This window comes from Homo sapiens, chromosome 5, assembly GCF_000001405.40.
Source record: "Homo sapiens chromosome 5, GRCh38.p14 Primary Assembly".
In the NCBI taxonomy this organism is placed as follows: Eukaryota; Metazoa; Chordata; class Mammalia; order Primates; family Hominidae; genus Homo; species Homo sapiens.
Window position 1 is genome coordinate 108,717,763 of NC_000005.10, and position 11,558 is coordinate 108,729,320.

General features: G+C 38.5%; 2 long non-coding RNA genes across 2 annotated transcripts, besides 3 other annotated features; both read right to left on the minus strand.

Moving 5' to 3' along the window:
* Positions 1-316: 316 nt before the first annotated feature.
* Positions 317-6,502, minus strand: LOC107986440 (uncharacterized). The gene is made up of 4 exons (XR_001742836.2): positions 6,088-6,502; positions 3,970-4,171; positions 2,831-2,929; positions 317-1,037 (listed from the first exon to the last, which is right to left on the minus strand). It is a non-coding gene; the product is annotated as an uncharacterized LOC107986440 (long non-coding RNA).
* Positions 9,742-10,323: an enhancer, noted in NCBI's record as "NANOG-H3K27ac-H3K4me1 hESC enhancer chr5:108063205-108063786 (GRCh37/hg19 assembly coordinates)". NCBI's record gives its function as "activates a minimal SCP1, AML or CMV promoter by ChIP-STARR-seq in primed H9 embryonic stem cells {active_cell/tissue: H9 hESC(primed)}" and the evidence as "EXISTENCE:reporter gene assay evidence [ECO:0000049][PMID:30033119]".
* Positions 9,742-10,462: a biological region, named in NCBI's record as "NANOG-H3K27ac-H3K4me1 hESC enhancer GRCh37_chr5:108063205-108063786".
* On the minus strand, positions 10,063-10,499 carry LINC01023 (long intergenic non-protein coding RNA 1023). Its single transcript, NR_046368.1, has one exon. It is a non-coding gene; the product is annotated as a long intergenic non-protein coding RNA 1023 (long non-coding RNA).
* Positions 10,163-10,462: an enhancer, noted in NCBI's record as "active region_22877". NCBI's record gives its function as "activates an Ori minimal core promoter by ATAC-STARR-seq in GM12878 lymphoblastoid cells {active_cell/tissue: GM12878}" and the evidence as "EXISTENCE:reporter gene assay evidence [ECO:0000049][PMID:35858748]".

An 11,558-nucleotide genomic window follows, 5' to 3' on the forward strand; every position in this document is an offset into this window, starting at 1 on the left:
CGAAAAGGCACAAAAGGAGCTTCCAATTATTGGCAGTGTTTTATTTTGTATCAGAAACAGTAGATACTTAATGTTCACTTTGTTATTTCTATTTATATAGTGTATATACATTTCATACATTCTTATGTATATATATTTCACAATTTTATAAAAGAATGAAAACCATATGTTCTCTCTTTATTAAAATAAGTTTACATGTGATATACCATCAGCCCACTTAAATAAATACATTCAAACCCATTTCTTAAATTCAAAAACCAAAGAGAAGATTGAAACAGGAAAACAAATATATTTAATTTACACACACACAAAACAAATGTGTATATTACTTAAAGGAGAATACTGATCAATTACATTAAAATTAAAATATATAAAAAAGCTTATATATATCAAAATATAAATAAACTTTTATCTATATATAAATATAGCTTTTATCTATATTATATATTACATGTATGTTATTTTTATACTTAGGAATACTATTTAAAATTAATCAGCATTTACTACACAACTCAGCTGTGATTAGTGTTTGGATCTACAATATACATTATTCATATATTATTTCTAATTCTCCAACAACTGAAAATTAGTTGTCACTATCCTCATTTTTCAAATGTAGAAACTGAGAACCTGATAAGTTAACCAATTTGCCTCCGATAATCCAGCCATTTAGGGGTAGAGCCAGCTAATAGGTATAGAGCCATTTGAATTGCAGTCCTTCTGCCTCCCAAATTGACATGCTTTCTGTCATGTTACAAGACAGTCCTGTTCTCCAGTCTTCTGTAGTGTTTGGGCACACTTCTTTCACATGTTATCTGAGGAGGCTTTCTGACTCCCTATTAATATGTGGCACTGAAGCTATGGACACTTATTCTAGAACTCATTTTCTTGTGTTCATAATGAAGGGTATAACACTAGTTCCTTTAAGCACTAAAAGTCTGTGTTATTTAACCATGAAAATATAAAACTGCCATTTACCTCTTAATTAGTGGTCTTCCTTTTCTGGATAATGGCAGGAAACTGGAAGTGAGGTTAAACTAGAAGAAAAGAAAATCATAAATACAAGCAGACTCTCACAGCAGGAGGCCATTTTTTTTCTAACACCTGTTTGTTTGTTATGATAACTTCTCTCTAAATCAAGGTAATTGTGAGAAGTACAGAATAAATTATAAATAAATTCTGAGTTATGTGATATGTTTGACAAAATGTCTTATTTTCAAACCTAATTCAGAATTATTCAATCAAGCTACAAGTGAGTTGCTTTCGTGGTCCAACTATAAACGGATGGCACAGAATGATTTCTGCTTAATATATCTGTTACTAAACTCTAAATGGTAATTCAAAAGTTCTTACAGATGTTTTAAACATTTATTTTGTTAAGAAATAAAAATAATCTTCTTGTCACTTGTTTAAACTCTTAACCTGCTGAAAAAGGAAAGGCTTACCAAGTAAGCATTATCACACTTCAACTTGGGGTTCCTCTGAATACTGACAAATTTTCAAATCACTTTGAGGCAAATTAATTGTTCTGCTGATACTACCTTTAATACGCTCCTTAGGACTTTCAGCTTGAAACTTATTAATGCCTGAGCATTGTATACAGAACAGATGAAATTAGAAATGATTACAGCAATGTTGAATAGATGTTCCCATTATAAAATTCATTGTTTTAAAATATTTTAATCTCGGCTAGGCGTGGTGCCTCATGCCTGTAATCCCAGCACTTTGGGAGGCCGAGGCAGGGAGATCATGAGGTCAGGAATTCGAGACCAGCCTGGCCAACATGGTGAAATCCCATCTCTACTAAAAATACAAAAATTAGCCGGGCATGGTGGTATGAGCCTGTAGTCCCAGCTACTTGGGAGGCTGAGGCAGGAGAATCGCTTGAACCCAGAAAGAGGAAGTTGCAGTGAGCCAAGATTGCATCACGGCACTCCAGCCTGGGAGAAAGAGCGAAACTCCGTCTCAAAAAAAAAATTTTTTTTAATCTCATATTTAGCACTGTTTAATGGCAATGTATAGTCCACTAATGGTTCTCAAGCAGGGTTGATGTTGCCCTCCAGGGGACATTTGGCAATGTCTGGAGACATTTTAATTTGTCACACTAACTGGACCAGGTAAGAGTTGGAGTAGAGGCACCAGCATTTAATGGGTAGAGAAGCCAGGGATACCTCTAAACAGCCTGCAATACATAGGACAATCCCCCACATGAAAGGATTATCCAATCCCACACCAAAATAATACTACCAAGGTTGAGAGACCTTCTTCTAACACTAAATAAATTTATCAACAGCTTTAATGGACTTACTAAAGGTTTTTGTCTTTAAAAGGTTAGGATTTAAAAAGATAAGATAGAAACAGCATGTACATACACACACGTATATCTATACATATATATTCGTGCTAAATAAAAATGTATGAGATGTGCTTCTAAAATAATGTGACTACTTTGTTAGCATGTGAAATTAATTGCTAACATTTAGAAAATGTTTTACTGTTTATGGAGTACTTTCTCACTACTGTCTTCCTGGCAATATTATCTATACCTATAGCCTCCACTTTCATCTCTATGATTGTGATTTTCAAATGTTTAGCCCAGATTTCAATATTACCATACCCTGATGATTTTCTGTCTTCAGTATTCCTCCATCACTCCCTCTGCATTATTTGGCCCTCATCCTTGCTTTCATGGATGATTGTGTGACCCCATTGTGCAAGATCACACTATCCTGTGGTTATAAAATAAGGAAACACTTTTTCTTACTGCACAAAGTGTAATGGCTTTAATCCTGACTAATTTCCAGAAATCAGCCCTCATCAGATGACTCACCAGGTGCTTCTGAGAACTCTCAGGATTCCATCATATGGTCTCTTCAGCAGGTCTCCAGGGACCATGTGCCATCTAAGGCTCTAAGGCTGCCATATCTTTCTGTAAGATCACAATGATGGCTCAGGTGAGTGTGGCTTTCTGCAGATGACTTCTGTTACCAACACCCTGGTCTCAAGGAGGAAGTTTACTGCTCTCTCCTTTGCATTTCTTTCTGAAGCATGGGATAGGCCCTTCCTGAATTCCCCACAGTATAACTGAGTCCAGACTGTAACTTTTGACACAACTTCACTGCAGGTTTAGGAATAAAAGAAAGGAAGCAGAGTGAGGTAGTTACTTGCAACCTACACAGGCCCAGACCCATGCAGAGGTCCCAGAGATCTTATTCTTAGCCAGTATCTGCCTGTCCAGGGGTGGCTTCCCCTCTGGAAATGCCCCAGGACTCTCCATACTTTTGACTTTATTCCAAACTGACTCTGGCACCAGAAACAGGAGGAAATTTTCCCCTTACCCGGTTGAAACCTGACAGTTTTCATTCTCAGTATGACTGACATTCCTTGTAGACAAAAACCTCTATCCCCCATTCCTCCCCTCACCCCCCATCCAAATAGGGATATGATCCGGTTCCCAAAAATAATCACATCAGAATACATGGGCCATTATCAGTTCATTTCCTAAAGTCTGGGTAACTTCATTTTAAATACCCTCTTTTATGGGACATCAATAGCTCAGTGGAAGTTGGCCTGAACCAATCTCATTCTAGTCCATTTTCAGTCTCTCCTCATGAAGGATTTAAAGTCTTGGTGTCGGTCTTACAAAGAATCACCTCGTTATGAGAGTGGTGACTTTCCAACTCATCTTATTCCTCCAGTCTGGCTTCACTGAGTCCACACCTTTGCTGCTGCCAATGTTCGTCAGAAATACAAATCCATTCATTCACTTTGATACTTAAGACCCCACAGTGGTCCCATACAGCCCTCATGAATGCCCTCTTGCCTATTTCTTCAGTTCCCTCACTTCTCTTTTCCCCATTCACACGCTAGCTTAACTCCAGATGTTCAGGATTACTACAAATTTCTAAACATGATTCTTTCTCATGTCTCTGCCATTGCTGTTGTCTAGATCAAGAATTCCTTTCATACCTTTATTAGTCTGCCATATCTTATTCATGCTTCAAGACACAACTCAGTAGCACCTCCTCCAGGAATCCGATCATTGCCCCATCCCCAAGCTTGAGTTAGGAACACCTTCTCTCTGGTGTGGAGCACATGGTACTTATCTCTATCACACCTCTTATCACACTGGACTGAAATTCTTTGTCACTTCCATGAACATGGGAGCTCCCTAAAAGCAGAGACAATGTTGTTGCACTCTGTATTCCCAGATACCTGGCACAGGACCTGCAATACACTAAATTCTCAGGAAAATTTAACGAATGCTGATTCTTTTTCATTTGATCCTCCTAACAACACTGGGACACTAATATTATTTCCAATGGTACCAGTGGAAAGCAGTGATTCCATTTAACTTAAAACTAAGAATAAAACAGCCATGAGGGCTATAGTAAATATAGAAAAATTTATAATTCACAAAAGAGGAGAGGAGAAAAGGGTAAAAAGGTGGGAGGTATGTAACATGTTGATTTTCTCTATGTGATAGCTGAGGTTACAAAGTTAGGTTTTAAAGCTGACAGAGCAAGTGATAAATATAGAACCACATTTCAAGATACAGAAGTAAACATTAGAAGAATATAAAAAATACAGTTTAATTAAACTCAGGTTTTAGAGGGCAGAGAGTAGAAATATAAAGGACCTATTGTTCATAGTGGGGAGATATATATATATGCATAGTATGCATATTTAAAAGAAATAGAGAATAAAATATTTTATAGAAAGTTATGGGCCAGGCACGGTGGCTCACACCTGTAATCCCAGCCATTTGGGAAGCTGAGGCAAATGGATCACTTGAGGTCAAGAGTTTGAGACAAGCCTGGCCAACATGGTGAAACCTTGTATCTATGAAAAATGAAAGAAAAAAAATTAGCTGGGTGTGGTGGCACACACCTGTAGTCACAGCTACTCGGGAGGCTGAGGTGGGAGGATTGCTTGAGCCCAGAAGGTTGAGGCTGCAGTGAGCCATGATCACTTCTCTGCACTTCAGCCTGGGTGACAGAGGGAGACCCTGTCTCAACAACAACAACAACAAAAAAGAAAATAAAAAGAAAGAAAGAAGAAAGAAAAAGTTATGGAACATCTAGCCTAAAAACAATGTTGAATGCAATTCTTTACATTTTTAGAAGGAACACATATAAATATAAAATACAAACATAAAAAGGTATCAGTCATATAATAAAAGATAAAAACTAAGAAACACAAACGGGATGTCTATTATATCAATAAATTTGCTTATGAAAACAAAACGACTCTCAGAAGAATTATGCCACAAAATCTAATTAAATGTTATGCATAAGAGATACTCCTAATACGGAGTACTTAGAAAAGTTGAAAACTAAAAAGAAACAAGTCATGAAGTGAAATGAAACACAACTAACTCATAGTGAGAAAATATTTACTACAAAATATTAAGAAAAAGATCGAAGGTAAGTTCAATAGAAAAATGGTCGAGAAACTTGACCAGATATGTAGGATACATTTTGACCAGATGTCAAAAAAGAGGATATCTTTTCATAAACACATGAAAAGGTGCTCTACCTCATTATGAATCAGGAAAATACAAATTAAAGCCACTACAAACCCACCAGAATGGCTATATATAAAAAAGACTAAAAATACCAAGTGTTGCCAAGAATATGAAAATTCAAGAACTCTCATAGACTGCTGGTGGAGATATAAGTGGAGAGCCACTTTGGGAAACAGTTTGGTATTTTGCTATAAATTTGTAGAATGTGTTCTCTTTAATGCACCAATTTAATTCTAGATACATACGCAACAAAAATGTATGCACATGTGTATCAACAGGCATTGTCATTGACCAAAACCAGAAACAAGCAAATGTTCATCAACGGTAGTGATACATTCACAGAATGTAAAACAATACAACAGTGCAAACAAATAAAATGTAATGTATGCAATGATACAGATGAATCTCATAAACATAATTTTAAGCTACAGAGAAAAGACCACGCAGTGTATAATTTCATTTATATAAACTTCAAAAACAAGGAAAACTAAACTCTAGTGTAAACAGATGCACATTTTTGTGGTAAAAGATAAAAAAGGACCAGGCATGGTGGCTCATACCTGTAATCCCAGCTACTTGGGAGGCTGAGATGGAGAGTTGCTTGAGCCTAGGAGTTTGAATCAGCAGTGAGCTATGATGGTGCCAGTGCACTCCAGGCTGGGTGGCAGATTGAGACCCTGTCTCTAAAATAAAAATAAAAATAAAAAATAGAGAATAAACAGAACAAAAATGTGACTACGTATTACCCATAAATGTCAGGAAGGGACTACACTTAAGAAGAGAGGAAGCTGTGGATGGGGATGGGCATGGAGGTAGGGGTGCTTCTGAGCCCTACCAATATTCTACTTCTTGACCTTGATTGGTGATTATACAGTGTTCCTATTATAGTAATTCATTAAACAGCATACTTATGTTTTTATGCAATTATTATAATATGTTTTCATTTAACAATAAAAACATTTTTTAAAAAGTAAAATATAACAGCTTCTAAAAACTTCTGACTTTTTAAACTTTGAAAGATGTTCAAGAATTTTTTGTGTCAGAATGTCCTGATTTTAGAAATCTTTTGAAAATCAAAGATACAAAAGACATTGCAATGATAAAAATCTACGAAGTACATATATCTGTGCATAAAAATTTGATCAAAGTCACTCATTTAGCAAATTCACTTCTCCCAAAGGCTATCAGTCTTAATACTCTTTTTCATAATGTTACTATACCTTTGCTTTAAGATAATTTATGCTTCATTCACTCAAAGCTAACTTTTAAATTTTAAACAACAAATCCATAGGTCATAAAGAGGGCACATTCTAAGACGAAAGAACATTCCAGAGTCTGGTAGCATTATTTCAGAGTTTAATAAGGAGTTTAAAACATCTAATTTTGTAAAACTTCTGCTAATTTGATATTAACTATTTCTAGAACAAAATGCAAAAAGCAAAGCATTTACTATTGAGTTTCTAATAGTCATTGGGTGGGCAAGTGTCAAGAAAAGAAAATTGATTAATGTAATATAGAATAAATCAGTGTCCTCAACCAGGGACAATTTTGTCCTCCAGGAGACATTTGGCAACGTCTGGAGACATGTATGTTTGCCACAATGAAGAAGGGGTAGTACTAATGGCATATAGTGGATAAAGGCCAGGGATGCTGTTAAGCATTGTACATTGCATAGGACAGGCCCTGTAAAAGAAATCAATGACACTTGCTAAAGCATGGCAAGGAGGACTTTATTCAAGATCATTGCCATAGGTATAGGGACTATTGCAATAAGATTTTGCAGTTGGGGAGAGAGATTGTGCTCAACTCTGTATATAGCATGGGGCAAGTGGGAATTTATAGAGAAGGAGCAGGGTAGGAGAAGTGAATGGACAACTGCTAAGAGGAAGCATCAAGGGTAAGGAGGGTTCTGGCTAACACAACCTAACAGGATTCTTGCTTATGACAGGCTAGGGTTATTAGATTTCGTCTAAGGGATGTTGGAGGATGAGGAACATATTGATGGTGATCATATATCAAGGATGCGGGTGATGGGGGGCAGTTGCTAAACTGACTCAACAGTTTGTTGCTAAATCTGATTTTACAAGAAAGTATACAGACAGGCCTAGGAGAAGGTTCAGGAGCCTGAATAAAGTTTGGTCAAGCAAAGAATTTTTATCACCCTCCATAACAAGGAAGTACCTGGCCCGATATGTAAACAGTGCCCAGGATGAAAAACCTTAGAATAAATGAATAAATGAATCAAGGAGTTATCACATATTGTTAAGCAAAAAAGTAGATTATAAAAGATTAAAATTAGTGTGATTCCCTTTTTGTAAAAAACCCCAAACAACTGTGCATATGTAATGTGTGTGTATGTATATGTATTCACAAAAATGTTAACAATTATTAGCTCAGAATGATGAAATCATGGATGAATTTTACTTACTTTTGCTTTATTTTGTTAATCTGTAATTTCTTATTTTTCCATAGTTAATTACATTACTTGAACAATAAGAAAAATACAGTTTGGTTTCTACCAAAGAAAGAACATTGACTGTGGCATCAGAAAGAGCAGGGTTTGAACACTAGTTGTATCTCTCACATTTTAATCTTCTGAGATAATTGTCTTGCTGGTAAATGCGGAAATAATACTTCACAGGCTTGCTCCTTTTCTCCTGTTTAGTTTAAATACAACTATATACATATATACACACACATATCACTGCAATAGAAAAAAAAACTGAATAAATTTATTTTACAAATATCTTTAATGTGTGAGAAAAGTATATTTATTTACAGGGTAAGAAGATTGATGATGATGTGTGAGGATTCTGAAGGGGATCGCTAGGCATTTTCAAAGACTGGATAAGTTAGCCTCCCACTTATCCCTATTTCACCTAAAAACTGATTTAACAATGATTTGTTTTTTTGCCAGGCATTGAGCTAAGTAAAAGAACAAATGAAGAAACAAATTTAAAAACTCAATCTCTATCCTCAAAGAAGTCTAATTAATAAGTGGAGAATGACACAAACAACAAGTCATAATGCAATGTATTAAATACTATCATAGACATATTCACAAAATATTATGGGAACAAAGAGGAGGAACTGAGTTTCTTACTAGTATCCTATAGCATAATACTATGCTCATGTTATTATAATTTGATCTCTTCTTTGGTTCTAAAATAGATTGGTGAAGCACCTTTCTAACCATAAACAGGAAAGAGGAGAAAAAAAGTAATGAATATGAATGTACAGAAGGTGCCTAAAGTAGAATCACAGTGCTGTGAGCAGTAACAAGCAGAAGAACTTAAAGGATAAGCTATGTACAAAATCTCCCTGAAGGCAGGAAGGCAGGTGGTGGAGTGAAGTTGAGTCAGCCTCCATCCTGTTACCATCAGATGGTTCTCAAATGCCTGGCTGGCATCTGGACTGGGAGAACAGCAGATGAAAGGACCCAGAGTGGGAGGAAAATGAATCAGTATGCGATCAGCAAATTGTACCTTGGATTGGGATAGGATTCTTATAATTTAAAAATGTGCCTATATTCAATAACTGCAACTATTTAGAGTAATGGTAGCCTACTGTATTATCAGGAAGTGGTTAAAGAGTAAACATGTTCTGGAGGCAGGGAGATACTTGGGATACAGAAATGAGCGTGCTGAGTAAGAACACAATTGCTTCAGAATGTGCAATTCAACGCTGAATACAGGGTTCCAAATGCAGTTAACATCAACTAAAGAATTTAGCGAAAGGGTGTAGCAGAGTGTAAGTTGGAATTAAATATGGGTCCTTGGTCTGATAGAGAACATTTCAAGCAAGTTCGTTGTTTATATCTGACTTAGAAGGCAATGAGAAACCATACAAGATACGATACTGCTTTCTTCACATTTTCAAAAATATCTATTTTGATCAAAAGGAGTTAGGAAGAACCTGCATGGTGGACTATAACAGATAATAATGGAAGGACTATTCGGACCAAAAATAGTTACCAGTTTCATTGTCCTACTATGTGGAGGGGACAGAGCTGAGAGAAGGGGAAGAGAATAAGGCATTGAGTGGCGTTCTACTACTGGTGTGTGCCAAATACCAATTTCAGCATAAGGACTCAACCCGGAAGGAGCCAGCTGGAGTCCTTATGCTATTCCCGAGGCCTGAAACACGAGTCTAGCTGGTTCGGCCTCATCTGTCAGGTCACAGCTGCAATATTACTTCCTCAGGGAAGCCCTTTCTTTCTTCCTCTTCTCCATCTCCACCCCCTTCCCAAAAGGGCCTCCCGCTATAAGCTCTCAAAGTTGTAATTACATGTGTCTTGTAGTTAACTATTTAGAGTCTGTCTCCACGTCCAGGCTCCAACCAACCTCTCATCCTCAAATGTCTTCACAAGGTCGGTGATCTTGGCAGTTTTACTGACCAAAGAGTGGGGGCTCATCTCCAGCACCTTGCAGTATTGACAGGAAAGTCACTGAGTAGCAAATGAATGCATGAATGAGCTCGTGTTGTTAATATTGCCAGGCCCACAGGAAGCACCCAACAAAGAGCAATGATTGGTGTTCGCGTTCATTATCTCATTTAATTCTTACAAAACCACGGCAAGGATTCAACCCCACAACTGCTGTCTAGAAAACCGAGGAAAGTGACGCAACCCGCGGGAGGTCTGACGGCCCGAGAGCCGCAGCGCCAGGCCCGGGAGCCAGCCCCGTCCACTTCCCCGGTGGATTCTTCTCCGTTCCCCGCCGGCCGCCCCAGGTGAAGCTCCTTTCCGCCGTCAGAAGGAGGCTCCCAGCGGGAAGCAGCATCGAGGGCGACCCAGGGCCAGCACGGGAAATGCCAGGGACCGCGTCAGCCGAGCCTGCTGGAACCCCGCTCCTCGCTGCAGACGCCGTTCCGCCTGAGGACAGTACTCGGGCATGGGGAGTCAGGTGCCCGCCACAGGAACGCAAGAGACCGCGCCGGACCAGCGAAAAAGCTCCATGCTCTCCTGGTTTTCCAACCCGACGCCGCGGCCTGCGGCCACTCTAGGACGCCGGAGGGTCCTCCTCTCAGTGGTTGGGGCTGGGCCGCCCTGCGCCGGGAGCCGCCCACCTTCGGGCTGGGCCGGGCCTGGCCAGAGTCTGGGCTAAGCGCAGGGCCTGCATGAATCTTCAGCCTGGGAGGTGGGGCAGGAGCACGGAGAAGTCTCGAAGAAGTGGAGGAAGCACGCACTGGCTGCCGCGGGAAAAGCTCAGCCAGCAACTGTATCAGCTTTACATTCGACCCTCCTTTGCTGCATGGCAAAAAGAAAATAAACTACCATTTCTTAGTTCGTGTTTTATTTTCAGCTATTTCTTGTTTCCTTGGTTTCGATTCTAATTATTGCTGTAGACGCCTTCAGGTGGTGGAAGCCAAGGCAAGGAACCCCTGACCGCAATTTCCTAACCTTTGGGCAGAGTGTGGGGTGTGGGGACTCCCCGCCTGCCTTTCCCCGCCCCCCCTTCATAGAGACCTAAAAACCTTTAAAAAGGATCTAACACTAGCTCTATTATCTACCCTGTAGCCTACTCAACTAATTAATTCAGACATTTATAATTACACACCAAAAAAAAAAGAGAGAGAGAAAAAAAGTTAAACCGTTGGAACTACAAACATTAAACATGAGCAGTTCTTAGGGCCAAAATCTCTGAATGTGACTGCGACAGATCGCACTTGAAACGCCTGTATGAGGTAAACGGAAATGGCCAGAGAAAATGAACTGACGGGTATGTGTATTTCCAAATGTACTACTATCAGCTAAAAAAGAAACTTCAATGATTAGGTTTATTGAGGTGACATGCAATAATTCTTAAATGTTCTGCAATTAGAAGTTTCTACGTCATGAAGGCAGTTTAGAAGATTACAGCAAAATGGTGAAGCATGACTTCTTCATATGCTTATTCTTCATTCAAAAGCCGTTTGCAGGTTCCCCAGCTTAAAAAGAAGCCTAATTTCACTTATTTTGAAGAGTACTCTGATAAATATGAATACCGAAATCAAATGTTGCTTTGTGTTTAGACAGTTATAGATAGAAAAT